Source organism: Homo sapiens, chromosome 9 (genome assembly GCF_000001405.40).
Source record: "Homo sapiens chromosome 9, GRCh38.p14 Primary Assembly".
In the NCBI taxonomy this organism is placed as follows: Eukaryota; Metazoa; Chordata; class Mammalia; order Primates; family Hominidae; genus Homo; species Homo sapiens.
In genome coordinates this window covers 117,218,068-117,239,269 of record NC_000009.12, presented here as the reverse complement: position 1 = coordinate 117,239,269, position 21,202 = coordinate 117,218,068, and the positions used below count along the sequence as shown (strand labels likewise).

General features: G+C 43.6%; 1 protein-coding gene and 1 long non-coding RNA gene across 4 annotated transcripts in view; one reads left to right on the top strand and one right to left on the bottom strand.

Annotated features, from left to right (window-relative positions):
* The window catches only part of ASTN2 (astrotactin 2), a 991,946-nt gene that overhangs the window by 175,788 nt on the left and 794,956 nt on the right, over window positions 1-21,202 (top strand). The gene's annotated exons all lie outside the window — the stretch shown is intronic.
* Window positions 6,230-20,795, bottom strand: LOC105376237 (uncharacterized). Its single transcript, XR_930273.3, has 3 exons — window positions 20,724-20,795; window positions 7,177-7,301; window positions 6,230-6,294 (listed from the first exon to the last, which is right to left on the bottom strand). It is a non-coding gene; the product is annotated as an uncharacterized LOC105376237 (long non-coding RNA).

Here is a 21,202-nt window from a genome sequence, read left to right as displayed (position 1 = left end):
GCCCAATGCCTGGCATTTGGAGATGCTTAGGAGACACTGCTTACATTTGTTGCAGGGACTCAGAGCTGCCTTTTGCTAAGGGGATGATGCTGTCAGCCAAGGGTGGCAGGGCCTCTTGGTTCCCCAAATGAAGAAATGACAAGCTTGGGATTCAGGAATCTGAATCCACTGCTGATTTTCTGTGTGACCTTGGACAAGGCAGATAAACTCTCTGGGCCTGAGTTTTTACATTGATGAAGTAATGCATCTAAAGTTCTGCAAAGAAGAACATGCTGCCTGGCTGATCCTTGGGTGTGGTGGAATATCTTATAGCTGAGAAAGACTGGAAATATTTTAATATCTGCATGTAAACAGAGCATTATTTCCCTCCACCCATTTTTGCTTGTTTATTTCTACTTGGCAGGGTGATACCTTGCAACTTGGAGAAAATTACTGTTGGGGTGTTATTGGGTGCCAGAAACTTCACACACACTTACTAGCCAACTTAATCTTTATAGCGGTCACTGGAGCTAGGCACCAACATTCATGTTTCTCTGATGATTAAACTGAGAATCAGAGAAGAGTCCACTCTCTGAAGTCAAGCAACTAGTCAGTGAAAGTCAGTGACATCCAAAATTCTCCCCAGGTTGCTCCATCATCAAGGAATAATCAGTTTCTCATCACTGAAGGTGCTCAATGAAAGGAGGGCCAACTGAGAAGAGCTTTGTGGAGGAGATTCACCCATAGCCTGGGCCAGAGCCAGAGCTGTTGGCCTTGGATTTATCAGTATACACATTCATAACAGGTTCAGCACTGGGAGGACCCTTGGAGATCATCTGGTACAATCCTCTCCTTTGTAGATAGGAAAACCAAAGCTTTGAAATGGGCAAGGACTTGACCAACGTCACTTATTAGCCTCCTGGAGTTGAGCTGACCTGGGTTTGAATTCTGTCTCGGTTACCTATATCCCTGACATCTCACTATCCCCATTGAGTGCAGAGGGGACCCACTCTTTTCCTGTGGCTGTAGACACCCATGGCTAAACCAAAGGACCTAAAGAAATCCCCGGGAGCCAGGAGAGCCAGTGCACAGAGCTCAGGAAAGCCTGAGCCTCCACAAGTGGGTCTTTGCCCTTCCTTCCTTCCCGCCACAAGGAGCAGGGGTATCATTATTAAAACAGCCTCTCCCCTCCTTCTAGGGAGCCAGGTTGCAATTGGAGCTACATGAGATGGTGGATTTCACTGTGCAGCATCACTTGTGTCACCTTCCCTCAGCTATGACCAATGGCAGCCCCAGTGTCAGCCTCCTTGGGAAAGACAACTGTGTGTCTCCAGGGAGTTGAGCTAGCCTGAGAGCAGCAGCCATCTATGAGTAGGAGGGAGGAAGCACCCAGCACCAGCATCTCCTCTCTGACTCCTCCCTTTCCAGATGGGGCCTGGGCCCACTGGGAGGTAGAGTGAAGTGAAACACTGTGAGCATGGCACACATGGCACACAGGCAGAACTCAACCTCGGCTGAGTGTGGTGGCTCATGCCTGTAATCCCAGCACTTTGAGAGGCCAAGGTGAGCAGATCACAAGTTCAGGAGATCGAGACCATCCTGGCTAAGTCAGTGAAATCCTGTCTCTACTAAAAATAGAAAAAATTAGCGGGGCGTGATGGCATGCACCTGTAGTCCCAGCTACTCGGGAGGCTGAGGCAAGAGAATTGCTTGAACCTGGGAGGTGGAGGTTACAGTGAGCTGAGATCACACCATTGCACTCCAGGCTGGGCAACTGAGCAAAACTCTGTCTCAAAAGAAGAACTCAGCCTCCAGAGTTGTTGGGTTCTTGAATAATACACAAAAATTCTAAGGTGCTGCATGAATCCACAGTCAGCCACAGTCCTGGAACAGTACTAACTGGGCTCTGTGATTGCTACCACCATGGGGAGGTCCCAAAGGCTTCATCCCTGGGCCGGAGGGCAAGAACTCAGACCTGCTTCCAACAACCTTGACCAAATATTCTAATATTTCTGAGACTCAGTGTCCTTACCTATAAAAAAAAATAGATAATAATAGAAACTATTAGGTTGGTGCAAAAGTAATTGCGTTTTTTGTCATTGAACGTAATGGCAAAATCACAATTACTTTTGCTCCAACCTAATATTTCAGAAGCATGTCTTAAGGATTAAGTAAAATAATATACTCTAAGTGGGTAGGGCAGGGGCTGGCAGATAGAAAATGCCAAAAGAATGGTAGTCTCACCCACTCTGTGATCCTGGCATTGTTCCACATTTTATAATCTGAGACTGGCAATTGGACCTGGACTAATGTCAGGTACACAACACAAAATAACAACTATCCCTATATTTTTTGCATTTCTGGGATAACTCCCTTTACTGTTGCTTTACGGATCATAGCTAATATTTATGTAGCATTTACTAGGTGTTAGACGCTATAACTAGGACTTGACATATATTACCTTACTTTTACAACATCCCTATGAATTACATAGAATTATTGTGTTCATTTTATAGGTGAGAAAACTAAAGCAGAGAGAGGATACCCTTTGCATGGGATCAATGGTAGAGCTGGGAGTCAGATTTAGGAAATGGGGCTCACCATGCTCTATTGAACTTAAAGTGTTCTGTCCATCCATCTATCCATCCATCCATTCATTACTGAGCAATTAGTATGAGACTGACACTATTTCAGGCGCTTGAGAGCAGAAACACCGCTACCCTCATGGACCCTACAGTCCAGCACAGAAGGAGAATCACATGTCACTGCCAGCCCCTGGGGTCCTACATCCCACCCTGAGCTCCCTCTTCATTGCTTATCACATTTTTTTTGAACAAGTTTCCAACCAATCTATAGTGTGGCATTTTTTCCAATGCCCATCTACTGCCAGCTTCTCTCCATCTCACTCCCTCTGGCCCAGGGATGAAGCCTTTGGGACCTCCCCATGATGGTAGCAATCACAGAGCCCACTTAGTACTGTTCCAGGACTGTGGCTGACTGTGGATTCATGCAGCACCTCAGAATTTTTGTGTATTATTCAAGAACATTTTAGTCCTCGTGTTTTGGTAATGATGGAAGGCAGTATTGAGTGTGGAGTTCCATCCGAGTTTATTTCCGAGCTCTGTTGCACAGTAGCCATGGGTCTTGGATAACTCATTTGGTGAATGTGCCTCAGTTTTCTGGTGAGTATAATGCTACTTAGCTCTATTCCCTACCCCAACATACCTATGTCACCAGATTCCCAGGGTTGAGAGAGCCACAGCTGGATTTGGATTAAGATGAACTCCAGGCCTCTGAGCTCAAGTCAGAAAGACCTGCCTTTAGTTCTCTGAAAATGTTATTTAATGTATCTGAGATTCACTTTCCTCATCTGCACAATTGGTATGAAAATATGTTTTCTCCCTGTTTCACAGGTCTGCAAACTGTAGGGCTAGGACCAGCAAAGAATATGAGTGCCTCACTCACCTTGGACGTAGAATTTAAAGGGTTGCCTATAAACTCAGGAATGCATTAACTTGTATTTAAAAAAAAAAGAGTTGCATTGAAATATTATCTTCATTACTGAGGTTTTTGAACCCCTTTAAATTTTGCATACAAGACAAGTACCCACTTGCCTCATCCTAGACCCAGCCATGTGATACAGAGCTGCTCAAATGAGGTACTAATGAAGGGAAAGGCTTTTAAACCTAAGGACTGTGCAAATGCCATTTTGTTGTAGTAGTAGTTTATTTTACATTGTTTGCTTGTAGTTACAGTAATACACTTTCAGATGAGAGGACATTTTTTCTGGAGAGCAGGATGATTTTCTGAGTCTTAGAGGTCTGGGTTCTAATAATAGGGCTGCTACAGATTAATTTCGTGACCCGGAGCAAATTGTTTAACCTTTTTGTTTTCTTATCTGCAAAATGGGTATGTTAACACTGACCTCACAGATTTCCAATGAGGATTGATTTGTTTTAATAATGCATTCAATTTGTCAATACCAATAAATGACATGCAATAGGGGCTTGGAAAATAAAATTTTATCCTCCCCCCGCCTTTTTTTTTTTTTAATTGAGACAGAGTCTTGCTGTTATTGGCCTGGGCTGGAGTGCGATGGTGTGATCTCAGCTTACTGTAACCTCCGCCTCCTGGGTTCCAGCAATTCTCCTGCCTCAGCCTTCTGAGTAGCTGAGATTACAGGTGCCTGTCACCATGCTCAGCTAATTTTTTTATTTCTGGTAGAGTCAGGGTTTCACCATGTTGGCCAGGCTGGTCTCGAACTCCTGACCTCAGGTGATCCACCTGCCTCAGCCTCCCAAAGTGCTGGGATTACAGGCGTGAGCCACTGCGCCCAGCCTTATCCTTCTTTAAATACACTAAAACAGCAGACACCGATTGCTTACCTAAAACCCTTGAAATCGCTGATATATGGATCACCTTTAAACAGCTTTCTGTCTTGAGTCTGACAATGGAAACACACCTTGAAATGGCCACCAAGGGGCCAGGTTCTAGTCCTGGCTCTGCCACTAATCGTGCCTGACCTAGAAAAGGCTCTCATCCTCTCTCAGCCTTGACATTCCCTTGTGCAGAATGAAAGAGTCCTTTTTTCTAGCTCTGCTCCACGGAGCTCTAGAGATTTCAGACCCCCAACCTCCATTTAGACTGGAGCAGCGCCTCTTTTATGGCTTTATTCAGAAATGAATTTCCAATTAAAATTTTTCAAAGGAAAGTGTACAAAAGCAGTGATAATCCTAACAATGTCAGCTAACCTTAAGATCTCTGAGTTCCTGTCCGTTCTGATATTTGGAAAGTGGGATTTTAGTTTAGAAAGATGAGTGTGTTTGCCTCCACTGGGTTTCCTTCTAGCTGCTGTTGAGCATCTGTTCAGCACGGTAGGAGACACATGGCCGGTTCAGGAGGGATTAGCTGGCGCTGGAGAGGCGTGGAGGAGAAATGGGAGGGGAGATCTTGGTAAGGTGGTCCGAATATGCCAAGCACGTCTGTATTGTCTCTGCTGAGTTATTACTCTTACCCTCCAACCCAAACACAATCTGTCCCTGCCTGAGGCTCCCTTTTCAGGCTGGTGGCAGACAGCTGAGTACCACTGCTGCCTTTGCTGGTCTGTGGGAGGAGAGGAGTTGTCTCTACCCTCTTGCCCTCTGAGCACTTACATAGTCCATACCATCTCATCTAACTCCCCCTTTCTGCTGCTCAGCTTTTGGATACAACACACTCCAAAGTCACCCTCCTGTTGCTGAGAGACATAGTCCATCAACAATTTTAGCAGGGAGTCATTGGTCTAAATAGAATCTTATGAGAAACTCCAGTTCATAGGACAGATACATGAAGCATTTTGTAAGAGTAGAGTCCTATCAAATGTGCATTTTATTTGCATGAATTAACCTATATATTTTTTATGAGAGACAAGAGACACAGAAACAGAAATTTAGGCGGTTAGGTTATTATGACCACTGTTACACTCAATGAGCATTGATAATCCACAGTGAAGATGGGATAGAAAACACAAAACTGCTTTCTTCCTTGGTCAGTCTCATTGCTCACTGTTCAGTGATCACCACTCTGCCATAAGTGCAATTCCTTTGTTTGACTATATTCTTTTTTTTAAAAAAAAATTCAAGCTAATTATTTTAGGCACTGAGTCAAATAAATAGAAGCAGGGACATTTCAACTGGATCATAAAAGATGAGCAGAAATTTGCTTAACAGACTTCAGTCTTTCTCTGTAATTTGATGTTCATTTTGGGGTATGTTTAGGTTGTGTATGTTTGGATGCACACACACACATATGCTTATACATAGATAGCCCTTAGTAATTTGCAAAGCTTTTTCATGTGCATCATTTCATTGATTCTCCCAACCACCCTGGGAGTCAGGGAAGGTAAATGATTGTTGCCACTTGACTGATGAGGAAAATCAGGCTAAGGGGGTATTGAGCGACTTGCCCAAAATCTCATTAACAGGATTAAGTTGCCAGTTCCTGGCTTCCACTGAGCCTGGTACTGGTTTAGGTCCAGCAATTTTGTTTGATTTCCTGCTTTGGAGCGAGGAACACATGCTCGCTTGGGGGAATTGGAAGCAGGGCCTCCTCCCAGTTGCAGCCCCTCCCTGATTTCTTCAGGAGTTTTATTCTCAGCCTGCTCTCTGCCCCTCAGAAGGACACAGAGCCCTGGATGCAGGGAGGCTGTGAGATTGAAACTGGAAGAACGCAAGCTCCAGCTCACCTCCTAGAAGACTTGCTTGTTAACAGCAAAGAGAGGAGCTCCAGAATCCAGGCAGAGCCAGGGAAGGAAGTAGATAATGCCAGAACTCATCCCTGAGCAGAAGGAAGGAACAACAGATTGAAAGTGTCCTCTGATTACCAAACATGATGAATGAGGAACAAAAAGGAAAAAAAAAAAAATCTGTACCTAGTTGCATTGCAGTGAAATTTCAGAACTGTATGGATAAAAGGGGGAAAATGTGAAAGCTTTTAGAGAGATAAATTAAAAAAAGAAAAAAAATTGCTCCCAACAAAGGGAGAAGAGACAATAGAGTTTCTGGTGAATGTAATAATAACAGAACAATTTGCTGAGAACATTCTTTGGACCCAGGTAATCGGCATGGGATTTGTGGAAGCCCCATATTTTCTCCACTTGAATTGAGAACAGTTTGAAAGATTAGTAAAAGGAGTAAAGCAGATGGAGATTAATGTTTTGCCTTTATTACTGCAAAAGGTTAGTTTGGAGGACTTGGCAAAAATGGGTATTTTCCCACCCAGGGTAAGTGCTGAGTGCCTGGCACCCTCTCACATGGGAATCTGTTATCACAAAACAGAAGGGGTGGCAGGGCAGAGCAGAAGGCTGCTTTTGGAGGGCAGCTGGTTCCTACGGCAAAAGAAGCAATGAAGGGAAAGAGTTATGCAAGCTCACAGCCTCATTCCAGATCCAGTCTACCTTAGTGGGGAGGAGTAAAGGATGTTGGGCAAGAGAGAGATTTGGGGGAAATTTATCTTGATCAAAACCTGGGGTATAAAGAAGAAACATTTCCTAATACTATCCAGAGTGTTTACATGCACATCTTCACTTAATCCTCAAAACAAGACAATACACTCATGGGACCCTCATGATGCCCATTAAACGGATGAGTAAAATGAGGCTCCTAGATGCTTTTGTAATTGACAGTTACCTTTTGCTGTTACTTTTGTAGCAGCACTTACCCTGGGTGGCTTTTGTAATTTTGTTATACAGCCCCATGGAGGTGGCAGGGTGAAGACAGTTACTCCAGCTCTGTCTCCACAGATCTTCTAATCCCCTTCTGGGCTGCTTCCCCGAGTGCAGGGCCCTGAAAAGCAATGATGAGAAAAGGAAGGTGTGCTCACTTAGTGGCCCTCTGACAGCCCAAGTCAGCAGCCTCTAGGTCGGGACAGAGAACAAGGAAGAAGATTCTGAGCAAAATAGACGAGATTCTTATGTTTGTAATGGCCTGAGAAATGGGATTTGAACACCACTGGGATTCTTGAAAAAGAAGCTTCTTTCTACTCTCCTGCACTTCCTTCTATCCTCTCTCACCTTACACTCTCCCCTCCTTTCCATGCTCCCTTTATTCCTCACTCGCTTCCCACTCTCTCTGCCTCTATTCTCCCCTTTCCAAACTCTCCTTAAACCGTTGGCTTCTTGGACTTCACCAGTGACAACAAGCTCCTTCCCCCTTTATCCTCCCCAAATTCCACAAATTCCACTTCTGTTTTGGATTTTAAATCAATTCAAACCAATGTATCGATTATTTTGTTTTATTTTTACAATTATATCAGATAGATTTGCTTATCCCCATTTTCTAGATACAGAATAAAGTAACTTGTAAGAAGCCACAAAACCAATAGAGTAGCAATAAGATTTGAACTCAAATTTCATGGATCGAGAGTCTGAGCTTTAACCAAGAAGCTACATTGGCATACACAAATAAGAAGGACTAGTCAGGGATGGCAGGTATGTAGGCAAATATATGCCAAAGAGTGGCCTAGGGCCATTGTAGACAGCTGTAATCTTGGCAATAGTCCTGGCTCTCTATTACTAAGAATTTCTATGGTTTTCATCACTCAGCAGAGTGATGCATGTAATCCTAAAGTAGATACTACTGCTAACATCACTTCACAGACAAGGAAGATGAGATATACTGAATCAATTGACCTGCTGTGATCAGAAACTCAGAGAGTGCTGTAGATAGGATTTAAATACTCTTCTGCTCCCAGACCAACCCTACCTGATGATAAGGTCTCCTGCAGGCTTATTTAAAGGCCAGAAATATGTATTTTTAATGAGCATCCCCAGGTGTTATTTATGACCAGGCAAGTTTGGGGATGATCAACTCTATCTGGGAGGGTCAAGAAGATACACAAGCTCTGTCTTAAAAGGCGAGTGGAGTTTACTGTGTCAGAAAGGATTTATTGTATATTTTGTATTGTTTTCAGTCCACAGCCTTCTCTGTGGAATCTTTCGTCATTGCTGATGATGCTACCTTTCCATGATGCATGCACTGTCCGCTCCCTCTGCCCCAGAATAGCCACTGAGGAATGAGAAAAGAGGTCTTATTTTCATTCTCTCTTAGACCTTTTCTTTCCTGGCTCAATCTCTTTGGTTCACTTACTATGGGTTGCTTCAGTGACTCTTGCAACTAAATAATGGACCTAGATATCCTTCCTCAGTGTACGGGGTTTAATAGTGTCCTGACATAATTGATGTCTACCCAGAACCCCAGAATATAATCTTCTTTGGAAATAAGGTATTTATAGATGTAATTAATTAAGGATCTTACGATGAAATCATCCCTGACTTAGGGTGGGCCCTAAATCCAATGAGTGGTATTGTTGTAAGAAGAAGAGGAGATGGAGAGAGACACAGGGGAGAAGAAGGTGATTTGAAGATGGAGACAGATTGGAATGATGCTGCCACAGGTTAATTCCAGGAGCCACCAGAAGTGAGAAGAGGCAAGGGAGGAGTCTCCTGTAGAGCCTTTGGAGGGAGCTTGGCCCTGCTTGTACCTTCATTTCAGACTTCTGGCCTCCTGAACTAAGAGAGATAAATATCTAACACTTTAAGCCACTCAGTTTGGGTGATTTTTTTTTTTTCAGCCTGAAGAAATTCACACACCCAGATTCCACAGAGGCTCAGGATCAATAGGGCTTTTTTTTTTTTTTAAGATAGAGTCTTACCTCAAACTCCTGGGCTCAAGCAGACCTGCCTCAGCCTCCTGAGTAGCTGGGGCTAGATGTGCGCTACCATGCCTTTTTTTATTTTTATTTTTTGTAGAGATGGGGTTTCACTATGTTTCTCAATCTCCTACCCTCGTGAAATTCTCATGAATTGCAGTTTCAATCTCCTGGCTTCATGAAATTCTCCCACTTCAGCCTCGCAACATGCTGGGAGTATAGGCCTGAGCCACCACACCTGGCCAGAAATAAAGACTTTCTCTGAAGTGGTCCCAATACCACCAGTCCCTATTCCACCTCAGTCCATTTCCTCAGGACCTGCTGGTTGGTTCAAAACACACAGGACTCTGAATGGGCCAGGAACCCAGGCTAGTTGTTCTTGAGTGAGCCCAGACCCCTCACCGATATGGGTTGGAGACGGCTGTGTGACATGAACATTTATTTCAGTAGCTGTGGAATTAAGTTCATCTTCATCTAATTAATCTGAAGTTTAGACAGTTCCCAGGCTCTTCCAGACCTCATCTTTCCAATCTCAGGCTCAATGAGTGCTTCAAATGCTGTCCTGTTGGGTGGCAGTTTGGGGACGCTATCGCTGACCACTTAAGGATACAATATGCTGGAGCTTTGAGTTCCTGTATTTTACCCTGGGATTCAGTTAAGGAGACTGCCCAGTCTTGGGTAGCCCAGCTGGAGCTGGATATGAGGGTGGGTCTTGGAAGGCAATAGATGTACAACCCGAGGGAATGTGGGGAGCAGGACTTGGAGATCCACCTTGGGGCAGTCCTGTGTGTGACAGCAAGATCTCAGGGAACAGATCGAGGTTCAGCACTCATGGTAGGGCTTGGGGGCGGGGAGCGTTATCAGTGTTACAACTGAGATGTTCTCTGAACCAGGAAAGAAAGCATGGTCTACCAGATTCCCCTGCAGCCTGGGCCCTGGGTTGCCTGTCCTGCCAGCAGGGGTGGAAATTATCTCAGGGATGAGAGGAGTTGTTAAGGGTAAGGTGACAGGTAGCTGGGCAATTATCTCTACTACCTGGATTACTCAGGAGATATTGAACTTCATGGTTTTTTTTGTTTGTTTTGTTTTGTTTTGTTTTTTGAAATGGAGTCTCACTCTGTTGCCCAGGCTGGAGTGCAGTGGCACCATCTCAGCTCACTTTAACCTCCGCCTCCCAGGTTCAAGGATCCTCCTGCCTCAGCCCCCCTAATATAGGCACGTGCCACCATGCCTGGCTAATTTTTGTATTTTTAGTAGAGATGGGGTTTTGCCATGTTGGCCAGGCTGGTCTTGAACTCCTGACCTCAGGTGATCCACCCGCCTCGGCCTCCTAAAGTGCTGGGATTACAGGCATGAGCCACCAAGACTGGCCTGAACTCCACGTCTTTAAATACTCAGGAGACAAAGGGCAGCAAGGTGAAGAGAAAGAATGAATCATACCAGCTCAGCCCTGGTGGGTACATCAAGGACACTGGCCAGCTTTTAATTCCTGTTCCTATCATGCCACAGAGCACCTCCCATTGACTCCTCTCTCTTTTCCCTTCTCATTGATGGGCATCTTATGCTTGACTCTCTGCCCCTAGTAACTAACTTTCCAGGGGTTTTCTTGATCTAGCCCGGTAGGGGAGATCCTGAGACCATCACAACATGCCGTCAAGACAATTGGCAGCTACAGCATCAATGCTGTAAAATGGCAGCAAAACAATGCCTCTAAGAGACCCCTATTGTGTGACTTGTAATAGGTTTTGAAAAAGGTTGATGGATAGATGACAGAAGTATCAGAAGTATTGGAAAGCTGGCAGATTTGCAGCTTTGTTTCTTTTGCGCCTAAGTTACTCTGCTTGAGTTACCTGTGGTTTTTGGAGTCCCTCTCTTTAACAAACACCTATATACAAAGTTCTGATGGGTGTAAATTACTCTATAACATATATAGTTCTTTTAAAAACATGATTATCAATGAAGTCCTTACATAAAGAGGAAAAGGCACCTGTTATTGTTGATCATTTTAAACCTGGGGAAACTGAGGCTGAAAAAGGTAACATGGCTAGCCAAGGAATGTACATCTAATCACCCAGTCAGAATTTGAACCCAAATCCAGTGTTTTTTGAGCCACATTATTGACACCCTCTTTCACTAAAGTCCTATGATTTCCATCTAGATATAGTAATAGTAATAACAAATAGATACAGCTATCAGGTTGCTTTCTGTGTAAAGTGATTGTGCTTGAAGAGTTGCATCTGACATCCCTTTCACCCCTTTACTTTCTGGCTCAGTATCTCCCTAAGTATTTATAAATAAATAAATGACTAAACAAGCTTGGAATTCAGACCACCTCTTCCTCTTTGGTCCAACAGTAGAGAGAGAGGAGTTAACAGTTAGTTATCACATTTGTGTCTTCATTATCCCTATACCCAGTACCCCTTACCTGGGCACCAAAAGGGAACTAACAGCAATGTTTTCTTTATTCACTACATATCTTCCAGCCTTTTCGGTCCTCGGGTATAGGCTAATAAATAATTCATATCTAGTTATTGTCCTTGAGGAGCTACTAAACCATTCTGAGAGACATCTATCTATTTACTCATGTATTCATCCATCCAGTAATCCATTCATCCATCCATCCATCCACCCATCCCTGCATCCATTAATCTATTCATACACTCCAAAAAGAATTACTAAGCATTGACAAAACACTAAGTGCTGTTCTTGGTGCTGAAGACAGTAATGAACAAAACAAAAGGCCCTACATTATGGAAGCTCCATTCTATTAAGGCCATGAACAAAGTTAACAAATTAGTGTGTAATATAATAAAAGTGAGAGATAAGTGACATAAAGTTAAAGCAAGGAAAGGAAATAGAGATCTGGTGATGGAGACAAAGGTGAAGAGCACTGTGGTAGAGCAGGTGCAAAGGGAAGCCTTCACCAACGTGACTCTGTCTTGGTGATAGATCAGCAATCCCTGACCATGACCCTCACCCACACCAACTCCCCTAACCCCCACCCATGATTTCTAAAGAAGCCAGCATCAGACCCACTATGCTGCCAGCTCCCTTCAGAAGCTCCCTCCCCATATGAAACTTATTTTTCATGTATTAGTGTTGACCAGGCTCTCACTGGCCTCCACCTTCCTCTCTTTTCCCTACTTCTGACCTCAGAAGGCTTTGTTGTTGGCACAGTATTTTAAGGTTGGCACAATATTAGGGATCTCACATCAGCCCTGTGAATCTGCAACACATTCCCAGGGAATAATGTACTGAGCAAAGGATGAAGGCTCTTCATTCTGCCGACTCTCCAGACACACCGAACATTTCAAGATGATTGTAGCAGCATGCAGCAGACAAACAGGATTCTGGAGCCAAATGTGTGTCCTGTCACTGACTTTTCAGCCTTGAAGGGCAAAACCCCTCTTGAAAGGCTCACTTTTGTCATCTGTTAATGAAGTTAGAAATGCCTAGTTCATTTGCTTGCTATGGCCACCCTGTTAAAAAAACAAACAAACAAACAAACAAACCCGCTTTATGAGGACCTGTGAGCTTTCTGCAAACTTCTTTTACTTTATAAGGGGGTAAGGTAAGGACTGGGATTTAAGTTGCCTGGTTTCTTTCTCAATATGTTTTTCCTCTGCCAGAATTTTTTAAATCATCTTTTGTTGAGCATTGACTGTATTCTAGACACTGTTGGATTCCTTTTTGCATTCACTTGTTTAATTTTCACAATAGTCTATTTCAGTGATGAAATGTTAGTCTCATTAAGATGAGAAAGATGAGGATCAGAGAAATTTAGTAGCCTATCCAAGGTTCCATAGCTGGTAAATGACAGCACAGGTACTCAAACCCAAGGCCATCAACTCCAGAGCCTGCACCATTAACCACTACACAGTTTAGCTGATTATCCAGTCTTCTGTCACATTTTGGGCAAGAGTGTACTTGATTGGATGGGCATGTTCTTCACACCTTTGAACTTGACTGTAATTGGAATTGCAAGAAAAATCTTTTTTATCCTCACTTTCTCTACGTTTTACACTTGGAAGCTGTGAGAAACTCTTTGCCCCTTACCATGTTTCCCTCTTACATGGAGCTTGCTGAACTATGCATTGTGATAACTGCCTGCTTACTTACCTGTTGCCACAAACCAACTGTGAGTTCTTCAAGGGCATACCTGTGTATTTCTAAATCGAGGCAGAAGGTTTGCTACAGGGTCAGAAAATTACAATAATAGTAGTAAGAGTTAAGCCAATGACTACCACGTATTGAATGTTTTATGCAGGTCAAGGGCTGTGTGACATATTTTATACATATCACCTTATCCGATCTTCACAACAGCCTTTTTGGTGAATGGCATTATTCCTGTATTAGAGCTGTGAAAACTGAGCATCACAGAGAGAATGTCCCAAGGTCCCATTACTGGTAGGTGGCAGAGTAAAAATGGGAACTTAGGTCTGCCTGCTTCCAGGTATGACCTTACCCTGGGGAATAAGTAAATCAATGAATGAGGGCAAAGCTCCTCTCTGGCCACTTGGGTTCATCTGTATATATATATATATATATATATATATATATATATATATACATACAGCTTGGCCAGGCTGGTCTTGAACTCCTAACCTCATGACCCACCCGCCTCGGCCTCCCAAAGTGCTGGGATTACAGGCGTGAGCCACCGTGCCTGGCCCATCTGTATATTTTCATGACTCAAAGAGTGGGAAGAAACTCAATCCTCCTAAAGATGTTTTCCCCTACCTTCTCCATTCACCCGTCCTTCAGAGTGGGATTTGCGACAGAACTTGAGAGGCCACCTGAGGACATGTAGTGGGATGCTGACTTGTGTTAAATGGCTCATGCGAATTACCTTCAGCCCTCTCTTACAGACAGATGGAGGACTGCCAGACAGATGTAGGTGTATTTTGGTCACCTGCCCTTAGAGAGGCATTTATGATGGATTTATTCGTCCTTTCTTTCAACAAGTAATTGAAGATCTACTACTCTGTGCTGTGTACCATTCAAATTCAACCAGAAATAAATAAAACCCTGCCCTTCCTTTCATTGCCTCTCAGTGTAGAAATACAATAAATACATAATGAGGGCTACTCAGTGTCAGACCCTGAGCTGGATCCTGGGAAAACAGAGATGATTAAGAACACCCTCAATGGGCACTAGGGTGATGGGAGGGGGTCAAACTATGATGCAATCTGCGGCATGCTCTGGCAGACAAAAGCATGAGTCACTGCAAGACCTAACAGGTGGTACTTAACCCAGTCAGAAAAAGCAGGTTTCAGAGAACTCATGACCCACAAGCTGAGGCTTAAAGGACTCGACAAAGAAGTGAGGGAAGGGTATTTCAGATAGAGGGAGCATGAGCAAAAGCACAGAAACGTGAAATGGTGTGAAGGATACAGCGTGGTTAACTGTTTTAATGTATGCATTTACACCTGTAATACCAGGCAAGATGTCATAAGAATGTATGTATTTCATCTCTTCCAAAACGCTTTCCAGTTTGCCTTTGCTTTTTTAATTTTCTAGAATATTAGAGCTGGGATGGCTGTCAGAAACCATCCAATCCCACCTACTTACCCCAAAGAGGGGAAGGGATCACAATCACCGCTTGGAGCCTATGGGAGGAATGCAGCTGGGAAACTGTATAGAGAATATCTGATTGTATAGTGGAGGGGAAGTAGTGGTTTCACCACTACTTTGTATCAAATTTTTTTTTAGGAAACAAGGTCTTACATCAATAATAAAGATCCACTACTTGCAAGCTATTAGCTAACTGTGTTATACACTGCAATCGCATTTAATCCTCCACAGATTCTCCCACTTAGGTGTTAGTAACCCAATTCACAGATGAGAGAACTGAAGAAACTCAAGTGACTTATCCAAAGCCATATAAGTCAAACAGACATAGATTTGAGTCATGACTGTACTAACAAAAATGTCAATAGACGAACCTATGTCTGTCTAACTTACGGGAAAACGCTGGTGTCTCCAAGCATTCCTTAGCTTTCTCCTTGATAAATTTTTATAGAATTCAGTATGTTCTCCCAGGATTTTGACCCTGTTCTAATCTGATCTAAAGATGATTAAGGAAGATTGAGCTGGGGGGTAGTGGGTGGAAGGTGAATGCATTCCAAAGAACCAATGTGTTTTTACTTTACTCCTTTGGCATTATCTTTGGAAGTAAAATAGTATCTCTAATAGATACATGGTAAGTAGATGATTTATTTTAAAGAGAAACATGTTTCTTTTTATATAATGGGACTTCTTAAATAGGTCACCGTATATCTGTCTAGAGGCAAAAAAGAAATATAGATAAATATAGCTAACTATAGATGTATTAACATAGGTGTGAGTATATTTTTACAAATGTGAATACATACATAATCACATACATGTATACATGCAAATTCTTATTTGTTGTGCCTTTTTCTTCCCTTATTGTTCACACATGTAAATGTATCTCTTCATTTGATTACATGCTGGTATCTTGTATAACTTTCTGGAAGATTACCCAAGAAAAAATAAGACGTAGATAGATAGGTCCCTCCCTAATCCAGTGACAGAATCGAGACCTCAGTGTCATTGTTGACACCCCCTTCCCCACCAATAGACACAAGTCTTCCTATCCTGTTAGCTGACCCACCACTTTAACTCTCTTAGTTCTGGTCTCATCATCTCTCTTAGACTAGGGACTCTCAAACTCTGCGCTATTGACATTTGGGACCAGTTAATTCTTTGTTGTATGTGGCTGTCCTGTGTATGCGAGATGTTTACAGATTCCCTGGCTTCTGCCCACTAGATGCCAGTACTCTCTCCCCTAAGTTGTGACAACCAAAAATGTCTCTATTACCAAATGCCTCTTGGGGGGCAAAATTGCCACCAGTTGAGAACTGCCATCCTAGACCCTTGTTAAAATCTACCTCAATGGTATCCCTGTTTTCAATCTCCCCATCATGCCCACTATGATCTTTCCAAGGTATACAGCTGATTTTGCCACCCTACGGCATAAAAAAATTTTAGATCCTCAGTGTCTAAAAGTCTTTAGATCCTTATGCCTTTTGCAATATGTTCTGAACTTTCTTATTATCTTATTCTCCAGCTGCTCCCTTCTGAGATAGTGAACCCATGGTTTATTGGGAATTGCCCCCAGTGGAAAATCTTATCATATATGTTTTCTACTTGGTTGTATGGTTTTAAGCAGTTTCTCTTCTGAGTCTCCTTTTTTTTTTCATCTGTACACTGGGCATAATAATCTAACCTGTAGGGCAGCTAAGTAAAGAGCATCAACAACTCTAATACAAGGTAGGAAATGCTGAAGATCCTTAAGTGAGGGTTAAGGCGAAGCGCTGTGGGAGTGCAGAGGATAAAGAAATTCCTTCTGGCTGCACCTGGGGAAGGGAAAAGCCTAGGAGTTCATAAAGTAGATGCATTGAAGTTAACAGTGAAGTATGGGTGGTATTTGGATGTGTAGACATAAGGGTGAGGAATAAGAATGAGGGCATCATTCCAGGTAAAGTAAATGGCTTCTACAAAAACACCTCAGGACTGAGAGTTTGGTCCCTGGCAGCCACAGTGCCATCATGGTGAGAACTGGTGATCCACTGGGCCTTCTCTTCGCCACTCACTTAATGACAGAGCTAGTGGGAAAGGAGGCTCAGGCTCCACGTACTCTGACAAGTCTCCTTTCAGGCCCCAGTCTCTGCTCCCCAGCTTACTGGGAGCAGAGAGTTTCACTGTGGTTGGATACTTGGCACCATGCCTTCTCTGTAGCAAGAGCTTAGTAGGGGTGGTTGCATGGACGGCCAAAGCACACATTTGAAGAAGGGCATTTCAAAAGCATACGTTCGAGACAAGGTTATCCACAAAGATAGATGATGAGGACTTGAACTGTCAAACTACAGGATTCTTAGCTTAGTCAATGGGGAAGGGATCAGTTTCCATGTGTGCCTTAGTTACGGTAAGTAAGATGGATTGAGCATAGTGGGAAAGGAGGAATAAAGCCTGGAAGATCATTCAGCATGTATTAAAATTATCATGATGAAAATCCATGAAAACTAGGGCATAGGACAGTCATAGAGTAGAGAGAAATGGAAAGTTATAGAAGCTATTTTGTAGATCAAATTGTCACAATTCACGTTTCCTTAGCAGCTTTGGAGGGAGTCGGCTGCATATTCTGTCTCCAGAACTATTTTAGGATGGTTTGTGATGTTGGTCAAGTCACTTTCATTCTTTGAGTCTCAGTTTCTTTTTCTTTTTTTTTTTTCTTCTAACACTAAAGACTTAGACTATTTTCTAATAATTCTTCCAGCTTAAACATAGACTGGGGCCTGAAAGGAGACGTCTCGGATCACTTGGATCCCGGGCCCCCTTCCCCACTAGATCTGTCATTAGGCAAGTGGCCAAGAGAAGGCCCAGTGGATCACCAGTTCTCAGCCATCATGGCATCGTGGCTGCCAGGGACCAGAAACAAGTGACGAGAAGAGAAGGACATTACTTGAGAGAATATGCATGTTCACAGCTCTGAGGATTAAAGGCCTGTGTTCTTATCACTGCAGAACAGAGTATTATAAATCCAGTCTTAGAATACCAAATCCCCTGGTGGCTTGGCCATAGTGAGGGAATATTAAAAAGGCCAGAGACAGAAATAATCAGTTTCTGAATGACACATTGTCAAATAAAGCATTTTTCATATTATCCCTTTCTTTCCTTTCTCTGCTTCCTTCTTTCATGCCTTGATATTTTAACATGAAAAATAGATTAAAATGAGGCCAGGCCAAACAGTGTACTGAGTTTGACTTTTCAGAAGGCTCTCTTGGTGGGGTGGTTTGAAGTGCTTTATACTTTTTATCTCTCTGTGTATTTTTCTGTTTTTGAGGTTGTGTACGTAAGAAAACCAGCTGAAGGCACTGGCATTGGAGAAAGTAAAAGCAGCAAAGGGGCATACGAGGTTTGGTCAGGTGCCTTGTTGATGCTGGGATCAGAGCTAAAACAAGTACTTGCATTTGCATTCCTCTGGAAAGTCTGGTGAAGATTGTCAGCTTCTGGATGTGTTTATTAAGCACCTTCCCTGGGCTAAGCACTGGAACTAAGGCTGGATAAATGGTAGAGGTAAATGGCAACTCAAGACCTTGAATGGGAAAATGGTCAAACAGATGATTGGATAACAACAGCCAGAGGACTGGAGCCATGAAAGCCTCACCTCAACCTGAAAATGCAGAGATGTTCCCTGGGGAAGTGATCTCCAAGCTTAGACAGCTGAATGGGCTGAGATCAAGAGGTCAAGGGCAGTGCCTTAGTTTCTTGGGGCTTCCATTTAAATTACTGCACACTGAGTGGCTTAAAACATGAGAAATTTATTCTTTCATGGTTCAGGAGGCCAGAAGTCCAAAATCATGATGTCAGCAAGCCTCCTCCCGGAGGCTCTGAGGGAGAATCTGTCCCATGCCTTTCTACCAGTTTCTCATGGTTGCTGATGACCATCGGCATTCCTTGGCTTGTAGATGCATCACTTGGATCTCTGTCTTCATCTTCATGTGAGCTTCTTCCCTGTGTGTCCACTCCTGTTCTTATGAGGATACCAGTCATTGGATTTAGGGCCCACTTTAATCCAATATGACTTCATCTTAACTAATTACCTCTGCAAATATCCTATTTCCAACTGAAGTCACCTTCTGAGATTCCAGGTCGAGTGAGTGAGAGGGTGCTTCAGGCTGAGGGGATAGAGAGTGCAGAAGAGGGAGCATCACACTTTGGAGGATGCCAACTGCCCAGGGTGACTCCAGGACAAGTAGGACAGGTGAGGCTTGTGGGGAGCTGGGGAATGAGCAGGGACCCAGTCATGAGGGGTTTTGTGTACCAGGCTAGGGAACCTGGACATTATTTTAAGGACCCCAGGAAGCCAGGAGAGGAGTTTAAGCAAGGGGAACTGGGGTGAAAGGATTTGGTTTGTGATAGACAAATAGGGAAGCTGAAGGAATGATGCTAGTATTTGTTGACTTTTGTGGTGCCAGATCCTTTATCCAGACCTTTGAATGTCTTGTTTAATCCTTAGCATAACTCTTCACACTGTGAACTATCAGCCTCATTTTAAAGGGAGCCTATTGCAGTCCAAGGAAGTAAAATGTAATGAACTTGTCACAGCCAACAGCAAGGAGAGAAGCAGGGATTCTCATGCTGGCCTGTATGCCCCCAGGCACCTGGTTTCCCCATCAGAGCACTCTGCCCTTGACACCTCCCACCCTCACCCTTGTCTTGTTCCCATGGGGAATCTGAGACTCACTGTCAGTAATAGAACAAGAGAAGCAGGCTGATCCTGCCTAGAGAGACTTGTAATAGGGAAGGTTCCAGAAGGGATAGGGGTGCACTTTCTTTCTCACATCTCTTCTCCACTTCCTCCCTGAAAGCTTCTTGAAATTCTCATAAGGTGATGGTAAAAACAAATCACCCCAAGATCTGTCCAGCTTACAACCTCACAGAAGCAACCCTGTAACTAATAGACTGATGTTATTATTTCTAGAACTTGCAGTGACTTCCTCAGCCTTGTTTGCCTAGGGCTGCCCTGGAGTGAGCACGGTACAAATCGGACTTGGCATCAGATCGTCCCTGAGGCCAGCAGGGTCTCAGCTTGTCACCCTTGGAGATTTCGCCTCTTCTTAACTTGCTTTCTAAAAATTCACAGCCATCTTCCTAGGTCTTTTTCTTCCTCCTCAGCTCCCCTTTTGCCGTGCAGCATTTTTTTCCACTGCTTGGGCCTGTGTTTGCTCCTGGTGTGGACTCAGAGGCTGGACACACTGGCCGTGCTGAGCACTGGTCGATTGCTCCTGCCTTTCTGTTTGCTTACCTCTGGTGTGGGAAGCTGTTAAAGAAGGGAGTATGTAATTCTATGGGTGTGGACCAGGACAGAAGCCTGGACCAGTGCAGGTGGACACAGTCTACACTTCCTTCTTGATTCTGAGTCACTCATCTGCATTCTTTGGGTGAGATGTCTCACTATGACAGAAGCAGCCAGATGGTTCTCTTGAGCTCCTTTGCTTGTGCACGGCACTCTTCAGTTTTTACAGGATATCACAGCTGTTTTCAGATTTGATTTGCACAGCAGCCTATAGGGGGTACCATGAATGAAGATTTTCTCCTATCACTGGTTTACCATGTGCCAGGCACTAAGCAAAGTATCCCGTGTCCATTAGTTCACATCTCACTTCCCTTGATAAAGAAGTCTATGACCTGATTTTATAGATAATAAAATTGTTAATCAGAGAAATTAAGTTCTATGTCCAAGATAGCCCAGCTTATATGTGCAGCATTAGATTTCAACCTTGTGTTTCTGACTCCCAGTCTTAGCTAGTTCTAACTGTGTGATATAGTATTACAAGTATTGGCCAACTCCGATTTACTGATTAATAAACTGAAGGTCCATAGGAGCAAGCCAAGGTCAGAAAGTAAGTAAACTTGAATTTAGAAGCTTTTTCCCACATGCTCTGAGACTGTGTCCAATTTTATGTATTCCACTACTTTTTCAGGGTCTAGGGAGGGAGGGATGTTCAGATTGGTGCTTGCAACGTTACCTAAGCTGCTACCATGTTTTAGATGATGCCTCCTGAGTTCTTTAGAAGCCCAGCCTGGGATGTCTGTTTCAGTAGTCAGTGGCACGATGAGCCCCAGAATACTGGAAATCTGCTTTGACCAAGTTCTTGCAATAAAACTTGAATCTGTAACGGAAACCACGTGGTCAGTGACTCAGTTGGAGGTGATGGAAGCTGAGTTCAGGGCAGGCTGGGGAGTGAGGACAATGAACCTGTGCCCTAAAGGGATAGCCATAGCCACTGGCTTGGGCTCATATCAAATGGCAAGGTCAAGGGCTAAAGAATCAATGGGTCAATAAACTAAAGGGAACCTCAAGCTCAGTGCCTCCCAAACCAGGGGGTCCCTCTGCCACATTCTTCTGGAAGTTTCCTATGTTGAGAAATCTGTGCCTGAAATTGTGTAGGTAACTTGATAAGGCAGAAGTGAGACTGAGCAGGGGCTAAGTAGGCTTTTGCTCCTG